At 40.6% G+C, this 18,470-nt stretch overlaps 1 protein-coding gene across 10 annotated transcripts in view, besides 1 other annotated feature; it reads left to right on the top strand.

Annotated features, from left to right (window-relative positions):
* ARL15 (ARF like GTPase 15) overlaps window positions 1-18,470 on the top strand; it is a 426,632-nt gene that overhangs the window by 124,713 nt on the left and 283,449 nt on the right. For all 10 annotated transcript variants that reach the window (NM_019087.3, XM_011543500.3, XM_017009598.2 and 7 more), the window contains one exon: window positions 13,933-14,077. In NM_019087.3, coding sequence (NP_061960.1) covers window positions 13,933-14,077 — 145 coding nt within the window. The remainder of the gene's footprint in view (window positions 1-13,932; window positions 14,078-18,470) is intronic.
* Window positions 4,825-5,331: an enhancer, noted in NCBI's record as "NANOG hESC enhancer chr5:53476360-53476866 (GRCh37/hg19 assembly coordinates)". NCBI's record gives its function as "activates a minimal SCP1, AML or CMV promoter by ChIP-STARR-seq in primed H9 embryonic stem cells {active_cell/tissue: H9 hESC(primed)}" and the evidence as "EXISTENCE:reporter gene assay evidence [ECO:0000049][PMID:30033119]".

Genomic DNA, 18,470 nt, shown 5'->3' with positions numbered 1-18,470 from the left:
ATTATCTACTATGAGAAGAATCCTGATGTGTGGTCATAAAAATAAGTTTTCTTTGGGAAAACACTATTGTAACTGAAAAATCTAATATTAGCACTCATGATGATAATAACACCTATTGATTATTGAGTACTGTGCTGAGCATTTTGTATATAGTACCTTATTTGCTACTCCCAGCAATCCTGTGAGATGATCCCTATTTTCTAGATTAGCTATCAGTGAAGTAACTTGTCCTGATTGCCATAGGGTTTGATTTCAGGCTTGTCTAACCATGCTTTTAATCATAGCCACGCACATCACTGGGGAGCACATCTGGCCATGTGGCTTGGTCAGACACTCATGTTCCAAAGTTGAATTAAAAGTAGTGCCTGCATTCAAGTGCTCTAAGTCCAGTGGGGGAAGATGGATGGCAAATCAACTGTACTTGACAGAATGATGAGTGTTATGACAGTGAAATAGAAAAGATACTCAGGGAGTTTGGAGAAGGTCATCTAAATCAGAGTGAGGGTCACAGAAGTTGTCTTGAAAGAAATGATCATTGAGCTGAATTTTGAAGGGTAACTAAGAGCCAGCCAGAGGAAAATAGTGAGGAAGGATGTGTAGGCAGAGGGTCAGCCCCTTTACTGACATGGAGCCGGAAAGAGAATGGATCAGAAACTGCATGGAGGTGCATAGGATTGCCTTGAGGGCCATGTATTTGGTGGGAAAAATAATAATTAATATTATTATCAATTAAGTTTTGTGTGTCAAACCATGTTTTAGCTGTTATAGACGTTATTTCCTGTGGTCCCCATAACAACTATTGGATGCCAGAAATGAAGGCAAAGGTCAGATCATAAAGCTCCTTGTCTGCCCAGATAAGGAGTCTGTACTTTATCCTGACAGCTGTGGGTAGCTATAGAAAGATTTTAAATCACGGGAAAAACATGGTATTCTGGAGACTGAATTGGAGTAGGATAAGACCTGAACTAATGACACCAGTTAGGAGAAAAGATAGTGTGGTTATCCAAAGGACTGTGGTGATGTCCTGAACAAAGAAAGGCACTGGGATCCAGGAGGAACAGGGAAATAGTAGAGGCAAAGTTGGACAGATTCATAGGAATTGGTGACTAGTAGAATATATGGGACTGAGCTCCATCTTTATGGAGCCTAAAAGATTGTTAAGTGAAGAATAGAATAGGATTTCCACTTTTAGGGACTACAAGAAAAACAATTTTGGTTTGTTTTCCTTTTTTTTTTTTTTTTTTTGTTATAAGCCTTTCTAGCTTCAGTTCCAAAAGCACAGTGAATGGAAAGAATCTACTTTATTGAGATCTTTCCTCCTAGGGATTTTTGTGGTGATATTTAAATCCATTTGAAGGTCTACTTGTGGAACCTAGTCTCTCTCTCTCTCTTTTTTTTTTTTTTTTTTTTTTTTTTTTTTTAAAGACAGTGTTACTGTTGCCTAGGCTGGAGTGCAGTGGCACAGTCATAGCTCACTGCAGCCTTGAACTCCTGGGCTCAAGCAATCCTCCTGCCTCACCCTCCCCAGGACCTGGGACTACAGGCGCACACCATCACACCTGGCTAATTTTTAAATTTTTCTTTTTTTTTTTTTTTTTTGATTTTTTTTTTATTATACTTTAAGTTTTAGGGTACATGTGCACATTGTGCAGGTTAGTTACATATGTATACATGTGCCATGCTGGTGTGCTGCACCCATTAATTCGTCATTTAGCATTAGGTATATCTCCCAATGCTATCCCTCCCCCCTCCCCCCACCCCACCACAGTCCCCAGAGTGTGATATTCCCCTTCCTGTGTCCATGTGATCTCATTGTTAATTCCCACCTATGAGTGAGAATATGCGGTGTTTGGTTTTTTGTTCTTGCGATAGTTTACTGAGAATGATGGTTTCCAATTTCATCCATGTCCCTACAAAGGACATGAACTCATCATTTTTTATGGCTGCATAGTATTCCATGGTGTATATGTGCCATATTTTCTTAATCCAGTCTATCATTGTTGGACATTTGGGTTGGTTCCAAGTCTTTGCTATTGTGAATAATGCCGCAATAAACATACGTGTGCATGTGTTTTTATAGCAGCATGATTTATAGTCATTTGGGTATATACCCAGTAATGGGATGGCTGGGTCAAATGGTATTTCTAGTTCTAGATCCCTGAGGTATCGCCACACTGACTTCCACAATGGTTGAACTAGTTTACAGTCCCACCAACAGTGTAAGAGTGTTCCTATTTCTCCACAAAAACGAGAATTTTAGACCAATATCCTTGATGAACATTGATGCAAAAATCCTCAATAAAATACTGGCAAACCGAATCCAGCAGCACATCAAAAAGCTTATCCACCATGATCAAGTGGGCTTCATCCCTGGGATGCAAGGCTGGTTCAATATACGCAAATCAATAAATGTAATCCAGCATATAAACAGAGCCAAAGACAAAAACCACATGATTATCTCAATAGATGCAGAAAAAGCCTTTGACAAAATTCAACAACCCTTCATGCTAAAGACTCTCAATAAATTAGGTATTGATGGGACGTATTTCAAAATAATAAGAGCTATCTATGACAAACCCACAGCCAATATCATACTGAATGGGCAAAAACTGGAAGCATTCCCTTTGAAAACTGGCACAAGACAGGGATACCCTCTCTCACCGCTCCTATTCAACATAGTGTTGGAAGTTCTGGCTGGGGCAATAAGGCAGGAGAAGGAAATAACGGGTATTCAATTAGGAAAAGAGGAAGTCAAATTGTCCCTGTTTGCAGACGACAGGATTGTTTATCTAGAAAACCCCATCGTCTCAGCCCAAAATCTCCTTAAGCTGATAAGCAACTTCACCAAAGTCTCAGGATACAAAATCAATGTACAAAAATCACAAGCATTCTTATACACCAATAACAGACAAACAGAGAGCCAAATCATGAGTGAACTCCCATTCACAATTGCTTCAAAGAGAATAAAATACCTAGGAATCCACCTTACAAGGGACGTGAAGGACCTCTTCAAGGAGAACTACAAACCACTGCTCAAGGAAATAAAAGAAGATACAAACAAATGGAAGAACATTCCATGCTCATGGGTAGGAAGAATCAATATCATGAAAATAGCCATACTGCCCAAGGTAATTTATAGATTCAATGCCATCCCCATCAAGCTACCAAAGACTTTCTTCACAGAATTGGAAAAAACTACTTTAAAGTTCATATGGAACCAAAAAAGAGCCCGCATCGCCAAGTCAATCCTAAGCCAAAAGAACAAAGCTGGAGGCATCACACTACCTGACTTCAAACTATACTACAAGGCTACAGTAACCAAAACAGCATGGTACTGGTACCAAAACAGAGATATAGATCAATGGAACAGAACAAAGCCCTCAGAAATAACGCCGCATACCTACAACTATCTGATCTTTGACAAACCTGAGAAAAACAGGCAATGGGGAAAGGATTCCCTATTTAATAAATGGTGCTGGGAAAACTGGCTAGCCATATGTAGAAAGCTGAAACTGGATCCCTTCCTTACACCTTATACAAAAATCAATTCAAGATGGATTAAAGATTTAAACGTTAGACCTAAAACCATAAAAACCCTAGAAGAAAACCTAGGCATTACCATTCAGGACATAGGCGTGGGCAAGGACTTCATGTCCAAAACACCAAAAGCAATGGCAACAAAAGCCAAAATTGACAAATGGGATCTAATTAAACTAAAGAGCTTCTGCACAGCAAAAGAAACTACCATCAGAGTGAACAGGCAACCTACAACATGGGAGAAAATTTTCGCAACCTACTCATCTGACAAAGGGCTAATATCCAGAATCTACAATGAACTCAAACAAATTTACAAGAAAAAACAAACAACCCCATCAAAAAGTGGGCGAAGGACATGAACAGACACTTCTCAAAAGAAGACATTTATGCAGCCAAAAAATACATGAAAAAATGCTCATCATCACTGGCCATCAGAGAAATGCAAATCAAAACCACTATGAGATATCATCTCACACCAGTTAGAATGGCAATCATTAAAAAGTCAGGAAACAACAGGTGCTGGAGAGGATGTGGAGAAATAAATTTTTCTTTTGAAGAGATGGGGTCTCGCTATGTTCATCAGGATGGTTTCAAACTCCTAGCCTCAAGTGATCCTCCTCCGTTGACCTCCTAAAGTGCTGGGATTACCAGCATGAGCGACTGTGCCCGACCACCTAGCTCCTTTTAAATGTTTTCATGTCCTGACCCTTCTTAAGTCTTTAAAATATAGAAAATGCCCTTGGTAAGGAATGTTAAAAGTGTTTGTGTATTTTTATGGCCTACTTCCTGTTTAGAAATGTTCTGTTCAGGTAATCAGCAAAAAAAGAGATTTGCTGTAAAATGCATTAGTTTCTCATTCACTTTCCTTTAAATTGTATTACTTTGCTCTTTAGGAAAAAAATAGTACATGGTCTGAAACTGACCTAGATGAGGCCCTGATTTGGAGATGTTTATGAATATGGCATATAAAGGTTAGGTCTCGTTACAGACATTTATGCCTGGGTATTTTATTGCTGGTTTTATTGCATAATTCTGTTTTTATAAAAATTGATTTTTTCCCTTCAAGCCATTACAATGTAAGAATTAGATTTTTTTAAAAGAAACATTTATTTTTTTACTTAGTTTTCTTTCCTAGTAAAAGAAAAAAATCCTATTCCTCTGATCTATTTCCAATGTGAGAAGATGTGAAATTATGCATAGCTGGGAATTATATGAGAATCTTGAATTCATTTCTTTAAATCTAATCATCAGATACATGCCCTAACTTTTAAAATCTCACTTTTGGTTCATCTTGAATTCCACATACCGAGACTCTTGAAAGCCACTGATCGGGGATGACTGATGCAGACTGGGAGCCACGTGGGCCCCGGGTCTGGTTCAGCGCAGCAGCACTCTCTTCCATTCAAAGTCTCAGATGTCTGCCCCTCTGCAAAGCCGTGAGGCCAATGTCTATAGCTGCTAAGCATGAAATCCCCTGCTTCTGTTTGTTTCTTTTGTTGCCACGAGTTAATAGGGACAGAGACAGGAGACAGCCCAGAACAAAGCAGAAATAATGGAGTATTTCACCCCAAAAAGGAATGTGGATTGAGAAATACAAAGGGTAAGGCAAAGACAGATTTAGTGTCCTGAGGCAGTGTGATGTATTGGCCAGAAGCCTCAGCCCTGGGACAATTCCAGTCCAAAGCCTTCATCTGTGTGCTCCCAGCAGCCCACATGGCTGAAAGGTTTGACCCACCTTCTATAAAAACAATTTGTTGTTTTTTTCCCACTAGGGTCTTAAAGGATGACAGGATTTCCACCTCAAAACATAGGTTGCTCTTGGAACGTGGAGAAGTCTTCAGCTGGGCTGTGTCTGGCAGCCAGGGGCCTCTTCACAGCACTCCTTTGCCCTGTTTGTTATTTTTCTTGCTATAGATGCCATTTTGAACTTGTTTGCAAGAACCACTAGTCACCCTAAGACATCGAAGCATATTTGATTTTTGTTTCTCTTCTTACAACTAGAAAGATAGGATTAGCTAAGAGATCGCATGCTCATTATAGACCTTCTCCTTCACATGCCTTTCTGCACAACCCAGTTTATTCATATATTTCCTCCTATACTCTCCTCCAACATATTTTATTTAGTATTTGCTTATTTATTTTACTTTATTGAGATATAATTTACATACACATATATTTTAAGGTATAATTTATATATACATATAATTTGAGGCTGTTTCAAAAGAGATTTTTTTCCTTACTGCTGTGCTTAGGGTTGGAAATCTCTGCAGCTCACATGGGCTTCTCTTTTTTTTTTTTTTTTTTTCTCGAGACAGTCTCGCTGTGTCACCCAGGCTGGAGAGCAGTGGCGCGATCTCAGCTCACTGCAACCTCAGTCCCCCAGGTTTAAGCGATTCTCCTGCCTCGGCCTCCTGAGTAGCTGGGACTACGGGCACACACCACTACACCTGGCTAATTTTTGTATTTTTAGTAGAGACGGGGTCTCACCACGTTGGCCAGGCTGGTCTCGAACTCCTGACCTCAAATGATCCCCCTACCTCGGCCTCCCAAAGTGCAGGGATTACAGGTGTGAGTCACTGCACCTGGCTGGCTTCTCTTAATACATAAGTTTTATCCTTTCCAGAGGACAAAAAAGGGTTAAATGAAAGAAGCAAACAGTGTGAAAGAGAGAAGCCAGCAGCACTTTGGTATCCCCTTTTCTTCCATCCCAGTCAATCTCCTCTCCTCCTCCTCCCCTGCTCTCTAATTCAGCAGGGCAAGAATCTTAAGGATGCTATTTCTCACCCAACTTCTCTAACTCCAAGAGAGCTGCAGGTCCCTTTTGCCTGGAATGAGAGATACTTTGGCCATAAACCTGCTGGTACAAGTAAAGAAGCAATACAAAGACTTGTATCTTCGCCTTCCTTTGCCCGGTGTTTTTCTCTTCAGTTACAAAGGCAAACTTACTTAAAGCACTCTTTCACCTCCTCAAAAGAACAGAACACCCCACTTCTGATGCTCTGATCCCTGACTTGAGGGCATGAACTAGGGCTCTGGAGTGGAATAACCCTGGCTCGAACCCCAGCTCTGCCACTTAATAGCTCTCGGGTACATTTTCTTATCTCTTTGTTGCCCTCTATCAACACAGAATGGATCTAAAGTTTCCTTTGAATGACACGCCCTCAGAAATTAGAGGCTTATCATTGCAGAAGTTTGGAAAACAGCTCAGGAGCCAGACTGCCAGGGTTTGAATCCTGTTCCACGTAGGCAAGTTACTTAACTTCTTTGAGCCTCAGTTTCCTCCTCTTTAAATTGAAATCATATGGTACTTTTCTAGGGAATAGATGAATTAATACCCATAAGTCACTTATATCTGCTGTTCAATACAGTTTTATTTTTAATTTACTAGGACACCCGCCCCTCCCAATGTCTCCTACAGAGCTCAAGCAGCTCTGACAAATCCCGTAACACATTTTGTAATGTGTTGTATTTTGTACTGGGTTTACATTTTCAAAAGACAGAGCCATAACTGACTGTTACAGACCTGGAAAATATTTTGTTCTAAATCAAGTCATTTTACATATTTAAGCACTTCTTAATGTTTTACTCATTGAGCAACGCTTAGTGTTAGAAAACACTTCTAGAAATTGACTTCTTTTTAGAAGCTTCTTTTTTTCTTCATTATGAGAGTTGGAGAAGGGTCAGAATGAATAGCTGCCTCTTTTTGGTTTGGAAGCCAACTATGTAAGAAATATATCCACTTAAAGTTATGGGTGACTTTTCTCTTCCCTTTAGGTACTAACTCATGGATGTTTCGTTAATCTAAAAAGTATTTATCGAGTGTGGTCCTTGGCCTCACCCTTGGGCCACATAGAAAAAGACCTGGTGAGCTGTCATAGGAGACCTTGTGTTTCTGTCTGGCGAGACCAGTATTGAAATGAGAAGGGAACAGTGTGGGGCTTGGGTAGTCTGGCTGTGGAGAAGTCCCAAAGCCGACTGAAGAAAAGTTTCCAGCAACTATACAGAGCTTCAATCAAATTGAAATCATGCTCAGAATAAAATCATGTATTCATGATGAAAAACAGAGCATCAATTGAAACAAATGCCATGTCCCAAAGGGCTGGGAATTTAGCGAAACAGGATGGTAGGAAACACTGGCAATGCAGGGGCCAGTGCCAAAGTGGGAGGATTTTGAGCTAGATTCTCGTCTAGTAACACATATTTGTAGGACAACTTTGCTGTTCTGTTTTGGTGCCTGGCCACCCCTTGGTAGCTGTAAGATTAAGCTTTTTGAACCTATAATAGGACCAAGAATGGATATGTCTTTGTGTCTGTGTGCATATTTCTATCAGCCAGTGAATCTTAGAAAAGAATACATGTGTCATAGTATTAACTGTAGTGCTAGTCTGTACAGGACCAAGAAGTGGAAGAAAGGATTATTTCTCTCTGAGGGAATTGAACACTTCTCAGAGGAGGTGCCCTTTAAACAGAACTTTGAGCAGGAGTTTGCCAAGTAGGAAAGTGGGGAGGAACTTTTATTCTGTGTGCACAGGAACAGGGTGGCATAGAAACGTTAAGTGCTCAGACCATGTGAAGGAATAGTGGTGATTTGGAGGGTGGCCGGAGTCATTAAGGTAGAAATATAGAGGAAAATGAAATGTACAATTAAATGCTTGATTAGTGCTTTGCAATGTTGACATGAGGGGTTATTCATCAAGTACTGATTGTGTACAGTGCTCTGCTAGACCTACAAAATGTCTGGCACTGTTGGGGAAATAAATACCTTATTTCTGTTCCAAACAGAAATGGGAACATTTTAAGATAATCTTGCTGCCTTGGTGCTAGGTCATCAGACTGAAATGCAAGTCCTTATTTTACTCTAGTAATTTTATCTTTTGCTTTCTTTTCTTTCCAATATTTGTAGTCACCTTCCTTTTTAAGCACATATTTCTAAGGGGTTTGCTTCTGCTTTCAAGCTAATCCATTATTTCAGCTGTTGATTATATGATTACATGATTTGTCCAAAGTCTACGATATAGTCAGTTATTACTGGTGATTCTGGTCTTTGCCCTCTCTCAAGACCTAGGCACACCATTTCCTCAAATACAGCACTAGAAGTTTGTGGGTACACAGAATGGGGAAACATCCTGTGTCCTGACATAATATAGTAGATACACTGGGTTCTTTTAAAAAAGACCAAGTCATAACTTGTCCCGTGTGAAAAGGCCTGTGAGCTGAAGCAGTCTAGGCAGTGGAGACCATGACCTTGGTTGGCCCCCCAAGAGGGTATACTTATATTCAGACTGGCTCTGTTCTCTATTTGCTGCTACCAGGGGAGTGGGGACAGGTTGTGTGTGTTTAGTGTCTTGGGCTGAACTGGGATAGAATGGAGCATGTGGAGGCTGCTGTGGGCTGTTGGAAGTACTACAGTCTGGGCTGTATATTGGGTGGCCAGGCCCTTGTCTAAGGAAGCTAACTGTCACTTAAGATACCTTGGAAAAATGAAAATCGCAATGAGCAGTTATTTACCTGTATGGCGCCTTTCTTAGTAGCATGATGTATTGCACCCAGGCCTCATAACATCCTCCTGAAGAAAGGAAGCGGCAGAGAGTGTTAAAATGTTACTGGTTAATCGTGGGGAAACTGAAGCATGGATAGGTTTATGAGGCTTGAACAGAGTTACACAATGCCTTAGTGTTTGGCCTGGGAATGAGGCCTGAGTTTGCCGCTTGCTGTCAGGACTGCCGACAGCATTGTGTTTCGCATTGTACAACAGTGAAAGGGGCTTACTCTTAACAATGCAAGAGCTGCTGTAGGAGACACACACAATGAACTTTGGTACAGTATAGTCTAGAGGCCAAAATGAGTAATTTTAAGTAAATTGACTATAGGATCCAAAGCTTCATTAAGTTTTAAAACAAAAAACAAATGAAAACTCTTTACAGTTTTTAGGAACTGACTCAGAAAACATGACCATTCCTTCCCCATTGGAAGTAGCATACTGTTGAAAGTTTTATCTTGTTGACTCAAAATCTGACACTATTCCTGTTACCCATAGGATGATTTATTCAGTCAGTTCAAATACATGTTGATTTCTAAGAGTCTGTGATTTATGTCAAAGATTTTGCCTTGTAATAACTATCAATCTAGCCATTAAGTTCCAAAGAACCTTATTTCCACAGCCTGTGGTTTTGTGGGGAGGCTTTTGTTTTATTCAGTTTTGGTTTGGGTTCTTATAGAACAGCTGGAACTATAGAGCCTGGACTTAGAGAAAGAGCTTGGGGAGACGGAGGGGGAGATGTCATGTTGGATGTCCTTATGACATTCGGTTATATGATTGAAACCATGGGACTGGAGATGATATCACTGGTGAGAATATAAAAAGGGAAGAGAGACCAGGCTCAGTGGCTCACGTGTGTAATCTCAGCACTTTGGGCAGCCGGGGTGAGTGGATCACCTGAGCTCAGGAGATGGAGACCAGCCTGAGCAACATGGTGAAACCCCATCTCTACAAAGATACAAAAATTAGCTGGGTGTGGTGGTGCACACTTGTAATCCCAGCTACTCGGGAGGCTGAGGTGGGAGGATTGCTTGAGCCTGGGATTTGGAGGTTGCAGTGAGTGGAGATTGCACCACTGCACTCCAGCCTGAGTGACAGAGACAGACTGTCTTAAAAAAAAAAAAAAGAGAGAAAAAGAAAGAGAAGAGAAGGCTGGGCATGGTGGCTCACACCTGTAATCCCAGCACTTTGGGAGGCTGAGGTGAGTGGATCACCTGAAGTCGAGAGTTCAAGACCAGCCTGGCCAACATGGTGAAACCCCGTCTCTACTAAAAATACAAAAATTAGCTGGGTGTGGTGGCGCATACCTGTAATCCCAGCTACTCAGGAAGCCGAGGCACGAGAATCACTTGAACCCGGGAGGTGGAGGTTGCTGTGAGCCGAGATTGTGCCATTGCACTCCAGCCCGGGCAACAAGAGTGAAACTCTGTCTGAAAAAAAAAAAAGAAAGAAAGAAAGAAGAGAAAAGACAGTGGAGTAGAATATCACTGCTATCATTGCAAAATCATCTTTTATGTCAGAAGTGGCTTAGGTGACCTAGAATAAACAGGTAAAATAGATATTAATGGAGTTGGCTACAAAGTTTTTCTACTCTGGATTTTAAAAAGAACATGAAGATGAAATTCTGGAGTGTTTGGCAAAAATATGAGTGATAACGACATGAATAATTTAAACCGGATGCTCTAGCAATCATTCACATACAGTTTCATTTGATATTTAAGGTTTATGATAGTTTGGGCCAGGGTAGTCAGGCCAGCCCTCCTCCAGGAGATAGTCCAGAGGAATTCTGGCAAGGAGCTGAGTGAGAATGAAGGCCTCTAGGGCAGGAATGGGATCTCTCCTCCTTGAACCCCAAACAAGACCAACGCAGCCCAGTAAAAGAAACTGTGTGACTAGTTTTGTTGTCTGTCCTAATTGAATGTGGAAGACCACTTCTAAGTCTGAACAGCTGCTAGCCATGGCCATCTTTGAGGGAACAGACACATACACAAATAAACCTATCTCTGAGAAAAACTCTCATTCTGAGTCTGGGAGACAGACTTTATAAAAAAGCTTGTTAAAGTCAGACAGTATCAGCCAGCCTTCATATGAATCCATGAAGTGATGTGTTGGCGTTTAGAATGCTGTTAGTAGTTATGGTCATTAATCTTGTGGGAGAGGGTGTGCTGGAACTAAAGGAAGATCAGAGAAGAACATCTCATAGGATGAAGACAGACTGAAATAAGTAGGACTCCTCAGGCTTGAAAAGACTGAGAGGAAATACAATTAGCATGAATAAACCCATGAAGAATATGGGTCATAGAATTGTTTACCAGAAGCAGGCAGAACCTCTTGAGAACAGAGGAAAAGTGAATTTAGGACAAAAAGAAGCTCTAATTTACCAAGAAAGTTGATCCTGTACACCAAAACCACTCTTTTGGGAACTAGGCTAACTAATGGCATTGAAGCGAAGTGAAAAAGTCAGCGGTTTCTTATTTTGACAGTATTTTCTTGAAGCGTGGAGGGCTCAGAGAACATAGATCAAGCATCCTGTTAGTCTCTATGTTTTCTTTTTTCTTTGCTTAGGTAAAATTTAAGTGTCGTTCATTCTTCATTCAACAATTATCTGCTGAGGGTAGATTCTATGCCATGTTCTCTGCTAGACACTGGGAGTACTGAGATGAAGGGGGACAGACATGGTTCTCACAGGCTGGTGATGAATAAGAAACTGCAATTGTCTGTGTAATGAATTTATAAAAGCCCAGTAGAGCTGGACGTGAATTGCTAACACAATCTTAGGATTGGAGCAGACTGCCCTGAGGATGGGATGATTAAGTTGAGACCTAAAAATGATGAGGTGTTGGCTAAGTCCAGAATTGGGGGAAGAAGGAACAGCATATTAGATGCCTCAGTTGAGGTAAGAGAGGGCATGGCTGGAGGATGTAGGGGAGTGAGGGCAATGAGGCTGGTGAGCTTGGCTGGAGCAGATCATGGAGTGTGGGGTAGACCATGGTAAGGGTTTGGGCTCGAGAGCTGGGCAAAGTCACTGGGGTGGCTTAAGCACGTATGGTCAGATTTTCTCTTTATAAGCAATCCAGTCACTGCAATGTGGAGAATAGGGGGCACAAGAGCAAATATACTGGAACTAGTGGGAGGATATTGATGTTGTTCAGGTGATGATGGCCTGGGCTGGACAGAAGTGGACAGATCCTAGAGCTACTTCAGAGGTCATATGAACTAGATTTGTTGATTAGATGTGAGAAATGAGGGAGAGAAATAATCAAGTTTGATTTACGAGAGTATGACAGCCAATTAGTACTCAGATTTTATCTGAGTGAGATGAATCAACACAGGCTTTTTTATAGGTCTCTTCTCTCGTAATCTCCAGATGACCCAAAAGTGAGTGGATCTGCCTTCTTTCCTCCCTGTCTCCCCCTTTCCCTCTTTCTCTCATGAATCATTCAGGGTCTAAATGTTTCAGGCTCTATAAGCTGGCACATAGTTGGCCCCTATGGATATGGGATAAGTAGAAAGATCAAAAGCTGCACAAATGATACCCTGTCTCCCAAATCCTCTTGTTTTTCTTTCTTTCTTTCTTTTCTTTTCTTTTTTTTTTTTTTCTGAGATGGAGTCTCGCTCTTTTTGCCCAGGCTGGAGTGCAATAGTGTGACCTTGGCTCACTGCAACCTCTGCCACCCAGATTCAAGTGATTCTCCTGCCTCAGTCCCCTGAGTAGCTGGAATTACAGGTGCCTGCCACCATGCCTGGCTAATTTCTTTTTGTATTTTTAGTACAGACTGGGTTTCACCACATTGGCCAGACTGGTCCCAAAGTGCTGGGATTACAGGCCTGAGCCACTGTGCCTGGCCCAGATCCCCTTGTCTTTAACTCTTGCAGAGCAAACTATACTACAGTTCATAGTACCCTGGTTGATTGACCTGAAAAAGAATTTAGCAAAGGCCAGAAAGGCAGTGGTATGTATAGAGACTCTATTTAATGATTTTAAAAATTTTTGTATTTTGAAATAATATCAGTGGTAAGACCAGAACAAGGAGTTTTCCTCTATTCTCTTTACTCAGCATCACTAGTCATTAACATTTTGCCATGTTGGCTTTGTCACTCTCCTCACCAGATAAAGATGGAGCTGGAGATTTAGATTTTTCTGAGCCAGTTAATTGTGGACATCAAGACCCTTCACCTCTAAATACTTAGAGGTATTATAAATAATTAGAATATTTTCTCAGAACAATGATTTTTCTTACATAACCACAGTACATTGATTAAATTCAGGAAATTTAACCTTATACAGTACTCTTATCTAATATGCAGTCTATATTCAGTGTTCACTTATTGTCTCAATAATGTCATTTATGGCTTTTTTTTTCCCCTTTTGATCTAGGATCCAGTCCAAGATATATTGCATTTTATTATTATGTCTTTTTAGTCTTCTTTAACATGGAACAGTTCCTCAGTCTTTCTTTGACTTTTAAGACATTGATATTTTGGAGGAGAACAGGCCAGTTGCCTTATGGAATACTCCTTAGATTGGCTTTATCTGGTTTCCTCATGCTTAGATTCAGATTGTGTGGTTTTGGCAGGCAAGCTGTGGGATGATGTCATGCTTTTTGCAGTGCACCTGCCATAGCAGGAAGGGAGGCATGAAGTAGAAAAACATTTCATAACTAAGAATGTTAACTTTGATCACTTGGCTAGAGTGGTGTCTCCAGGTTTCACTGTTCTAAAGTTACCGTTTTCTTCCTTATAGGTAATACTTTATTCAATTACCTCTTAATACTTACTCAGTCATTTTAAATGTGACTATGGTTTATTTCCATACTGTCATTTAAAGGAACATTTTTTTCCCCTTCTTTTGGCAGTGTTTTAGAGCACTTTGCTGCAAGGGACCACCACCTGCACGACCAGAATATGACCTGGTTTGCATAGGCCTCACAGGTTCTGGCAAAACCAGTCTGTTGTCCAAACTCTGCAGTGAAAGCCCCGATAACGTCGTGTCGACCACAGGTGGGTACTGTGCTGGGGTTCTGTCCCTTCTTCTTTCTCATCCCAAGATGTCCTAGTTTCCTGTGCAATTTATCCCCTCCCTTCTACTTATAGTTTAATGCTTTAATCAGTTTATTTTAATTTTAAACACTATCTCTTTTTCAAAAAAGATTTGAAATGAATTTAATAGCATTAAATTGCTGTATCCTATATCCCTCTAGCAGGTCATTTCAGTGGCACTGAATAAATGAAGCTTGGGAAAATATTAATACAAATGAATCCTGAAATCTGGAACTCTGATATATGACAAAATGGATTCATCTTGGGCCCATAGAGTACTTTCCTTCCTTGAAGTGTCACTCCAGCCTATGTTTCTTGGCCACACACTCCCTGAATAGTAAACTGATGTAGTCTGAATCTTCTTTCCTTGTCATTTTTCACCTGGAGGAAAGTCAGTGCAAGAGATCATGCATCAGCCTTCCCCTATTGCTTCCTGATGGAGCCAAGCAAAGTCAGTCTAGGGCAGTGGTTCTCAATCAGGGGAGATTATGCCTCTGAGTGGGACATTTTGGAGTCATTTGTGGGGAGGGGTATTACTGGCTTCTGGTGGATAGAGGCCAGTGGTGCTACTAAACATCCTTCAATGTACAGGGCAGCCCCCACAGCAAAGAGTTATCAGGCCCAAAATGTTTTCAGTGTCAAGTTATTAGTGAGAAATCCTGGCTAGGGTTTTTCTTCACTTCCCAAATGTGTCCTCTTTCTCTTCTGACAATGAAGAAGGAAAGAAGAGTATAAGAGGAAATAATGGAAGAACAGCTGTAAGAGATAGAGAACAGAGCTGCTGTGCAGAGAGAGCTGAGAAGGAAGGAGAAGGGTGAGATGTTTTCTGGAAAGTTGAAAAGATTGTTCATCAGCCAGCTTATTTTGAGCACCTACTATGTGCTAGGTCCAGTGTTAGACATGAGATAAGCGATGATTTCAGCATTCCAGGAGTCTCAGTATACTGGCTGCATAAACATTAAGTTCATATCCAGAAATAGATGGGGCATGGAAGGAAGGGGCATGACAGTGTTGCCTGGACCTGGGGAAGGGAAGGATGCATGATTTGGTTTGCTACATTAGATTTGAGGTTGATAAGTAGGTCTGGTACAAGAAATAAGGTGAGGGGGTGGAAAAGAAAGAGGACTTAGGAGCAGAGGGGCAGTGTGAAGGTAAGGAGTGTCAAACAGATTGGCAACTCCTAGAAACTGCATTTGTGTGTGGCTGCAGTGTATGTTTAATAGAGTGCCAGGAGACAAATTGTATTCAGTGGTGGCTGAATCTTAGCAGACCTTTCATACTGTGCTCAGGAGTTTGGGCTTTTCGTGTAGATAGTGCAGAGACATCAGAGTATTTTAAGCAAGGAAACTACATGATCAGATGTCCATTTGAGAAGAATCAAGCTGGCCATGATGTGGAGGCTAAATTGTGAGTAGCGCAGTTGGAGGCGGAGGCAGAAGATTACTGTGATGGTGCAACTGAGATGATGAAGGCCTTGGCTGAGGCAGTTACAGGGGGAAGAAGAGGAAGGAATAGGTAGGATATATATTTGAGAGCTAGAATTGACAAAGCCTAGTGTAGTTGGGTTTGGAGGGTGAGAGTGAGAAAGCCATGGCTGTCTCAATTCCTGGCTTACGTGATGGTTGGATGATGGAATTATTAACTAGGATTTCCTACAAAAAGTAGAAAGGATATTGTTGATCAAGAACCTTACTTCAGTTCACGTCAGCTTTTGCCGGCAAGTAAGTTTTAAAAAAGTGCAGGTTTTGAGAGCTTTTCAGATTTTAGAATTGAGATAAGAAACTGTGGAGCTGTTAAAGGGTTAGAGACATTGCTTGATTTTAGGATGAGGGAAAGGATAAGGGGATTGTAATGAGTAGAGACCCCAGAGAAGATTAGCAGAGCTCATGTGTAGCCTCTTTGCAGGAAGCTGTTTCTGACTACCTTCTTTTCTCCTTGGACAGAACTGAGTACTCCCTCCTCTCCCCACTGGGCGTTGTCCGTATTTCTCCCAGTTAGTGCCTGTAGCACTGCTTTATGTATGTGCCCATCTCCCCATCTTGGGTTAGAATCTCTTAAGGGCAGCTAGAGCATCATATGTGGTATTGTATACCCAGAGTCTGTCACAAGGTTTAGGCATGGATACAGATGTCTGTTAATAAGCAAATGAAAGTAAATTGAATCTATATAGTCTTCTGTTAGCCTTATAACAGCCCTTATATGACAGGTAGGAATCTTTTTCCATATTCTGTTTCTAAATTACCTGAAGATCAAAGGTATGGTGACATGGCTATTGTTACATAGCTAGAGATAGGATGCCAGTTCAGGTGTTCAAGTGAAGTTTAGTGGTATCCAAGGTTTAGGATTTCTGGTGGAAGTAGGTACTTTATTGGTTGTTTATAAAACTGTGAATATCTTTTGAGTAATGTGCAATGAAGTTATATAAACTTTATTAGCTTAAGTCTTTTCAATCAAAATAGCTTCTAAAATATGTGTAAGAGTAACACAAAGTATGCTTTTCTTCACTTATCAGAGTTATCTTCTAGCACTATTGCTAGAGGAGCAGTTTTGAATTATAGTGTAAAAGATTATCTGTATATAATTTTCTTACTTGTAAGTTATGTTTTGTGTTTGTTTTTATGAAATTTTTTAATAATACGTTTTACCAGAATTGTGCACTAGTCTATTTTCTGATGAATTAGTTGTTAGGTTGGCTAATTTTTTGGATATCAAGCTTCTTTGAGTTGTCATTGTTCTGAACCTGGCATAATGTCTTTTTGGAGGCCTCTTTGGAGGAAGCTGCCATCAAGAAGTTTACACCCAGGTTAGGAAGATAAGTTGTGTATTGATAAAAACAGTTCACATATATTGCTTATTTAATATACTCCAGGCTCTGTGCTAAGACAGAATGTGATATGTGTTATATTAATGGTGTAAATATGAAAGTTAAAAGAGGAGAGTGATCATTTCTAATCTGGAGGGTCAAAGAAAGCTCATAGTTAAGGTTACATTTGAGTAGGGTCTCATATGATGGGTAAGGTCTAAGCAGAGAGGAATGGGGTGAGGAGAGTTAGGGATAGAAAGCATAGGTATATTCAGAGAAAGATTAGTGGTCTTACTGGGTTAAGGCACAGCATGCAGAGATTTAGGGGATGTTGGGATCTAAGGCTAGAGACTTAGAGAAGCTGTTGGGGGAGACCTGTTAGATGTAGAGGTGATCCAGCAGGGACAATACTTGTGGGGATGTTACTGCTACTGTAAAAGTGACAGTTATGCTGGGTATTCAAGAGGAAAGGAAGATAAAACAATCAAATATGAGTCAAGTTTATAGCTTTATGTTTTGGTGAATTGTTAAAAAAAAAAAAAGTAGGGAGAATGTGACAGAGTTTTAAGATAAAAATAATGAGTTTAGTTTGGGGCATGCTGATTTTGAGGTTTGACAAGACATCCAACAGTGATCCAAATGCTAAAAGCCAAGCAGACTAGAGAGATTTGAGAGACAACTCAGTCATAGATTTGGATGAGCTTGTCCAGGGGTAATGGGTAGAAAGCGGGAAGAAAGGTGCTAAGCACCAATTATATTTTGTTAATTCATTCCACATTCATTGAATGTCTGTTATGTGACTGCCACTGATTTAAGGACTGAGGATATATCAGTTAACAAAATATACAAACAACCCTGCTCTTTGGAGCTTACATTACAGCATCTGCTTTTGATAAGGAATATAGGTCAGACAGTTCTATATAATATCCTTTAAGTCAAATATGGGCAAGAAATCAAAAGAACCAGTCAAATAAGGTAAACGTAAGTCTAAAGTCTGAGAAAGGCCATTGGATGTGGTGACAACGTGGTAATTAATAACTAATGGTAGAAACAGTTTCAGTAGAGTATTGAGGTGGAAACCAACCTGAGAATTGAGGGGATGAAGAGCAAGCAAAGGAATTGAGGGGTAGACCATCGTTTTCACTCCTTAACTCTTTGGAATATAGACAGTTCTTTCAAGAAGGTGGACAGAAAAAGAGAAAATAGTGCTAAGAGAATTTGTTTCTATAAGAAAAGGTCTCTTGAGCATGCTAGTAGTCAGAGGTTTAGGGTGGTCATCAGGGGAAAAGGCAAGACTGAATATGCTCAAGAGAGGGCAGTGAGCACAAGGATGAGTGAGGACTTCTTGTTCTGGTAAGATGGAATAACTGGAACTAGTTTACTCTCCCATCTAAAAGAAGAAGAACAACAACAGCAACCAGCTCATGAAATATACAAAGCAACAATTTTCAAGCCAGGAAACGCAGTTATCCCTGAGAAATGAGAAACAAATGAGATGTGCTCTGTGATTGTCCCAGCTTAATGCCTTGAGAGTTTCCAGGCTGTGGCACA

This window comes from Homo sapiens, chromosome 5 (genome assembly GCF_000001405.40).
Source record: "Homo sapiens chromosome 5, GRCh38.p14 Primary Assembly".
Classification (NCBI taxonomy): domain Eukaryota; kingdom Metazoa; phylum Chordata; class Mammalia; order Primates; family Hominidae; genus Homo; species Homo sapiens.
This window is presented reverse-complemented; position numbering and strand designations above follow the sequence as displayed.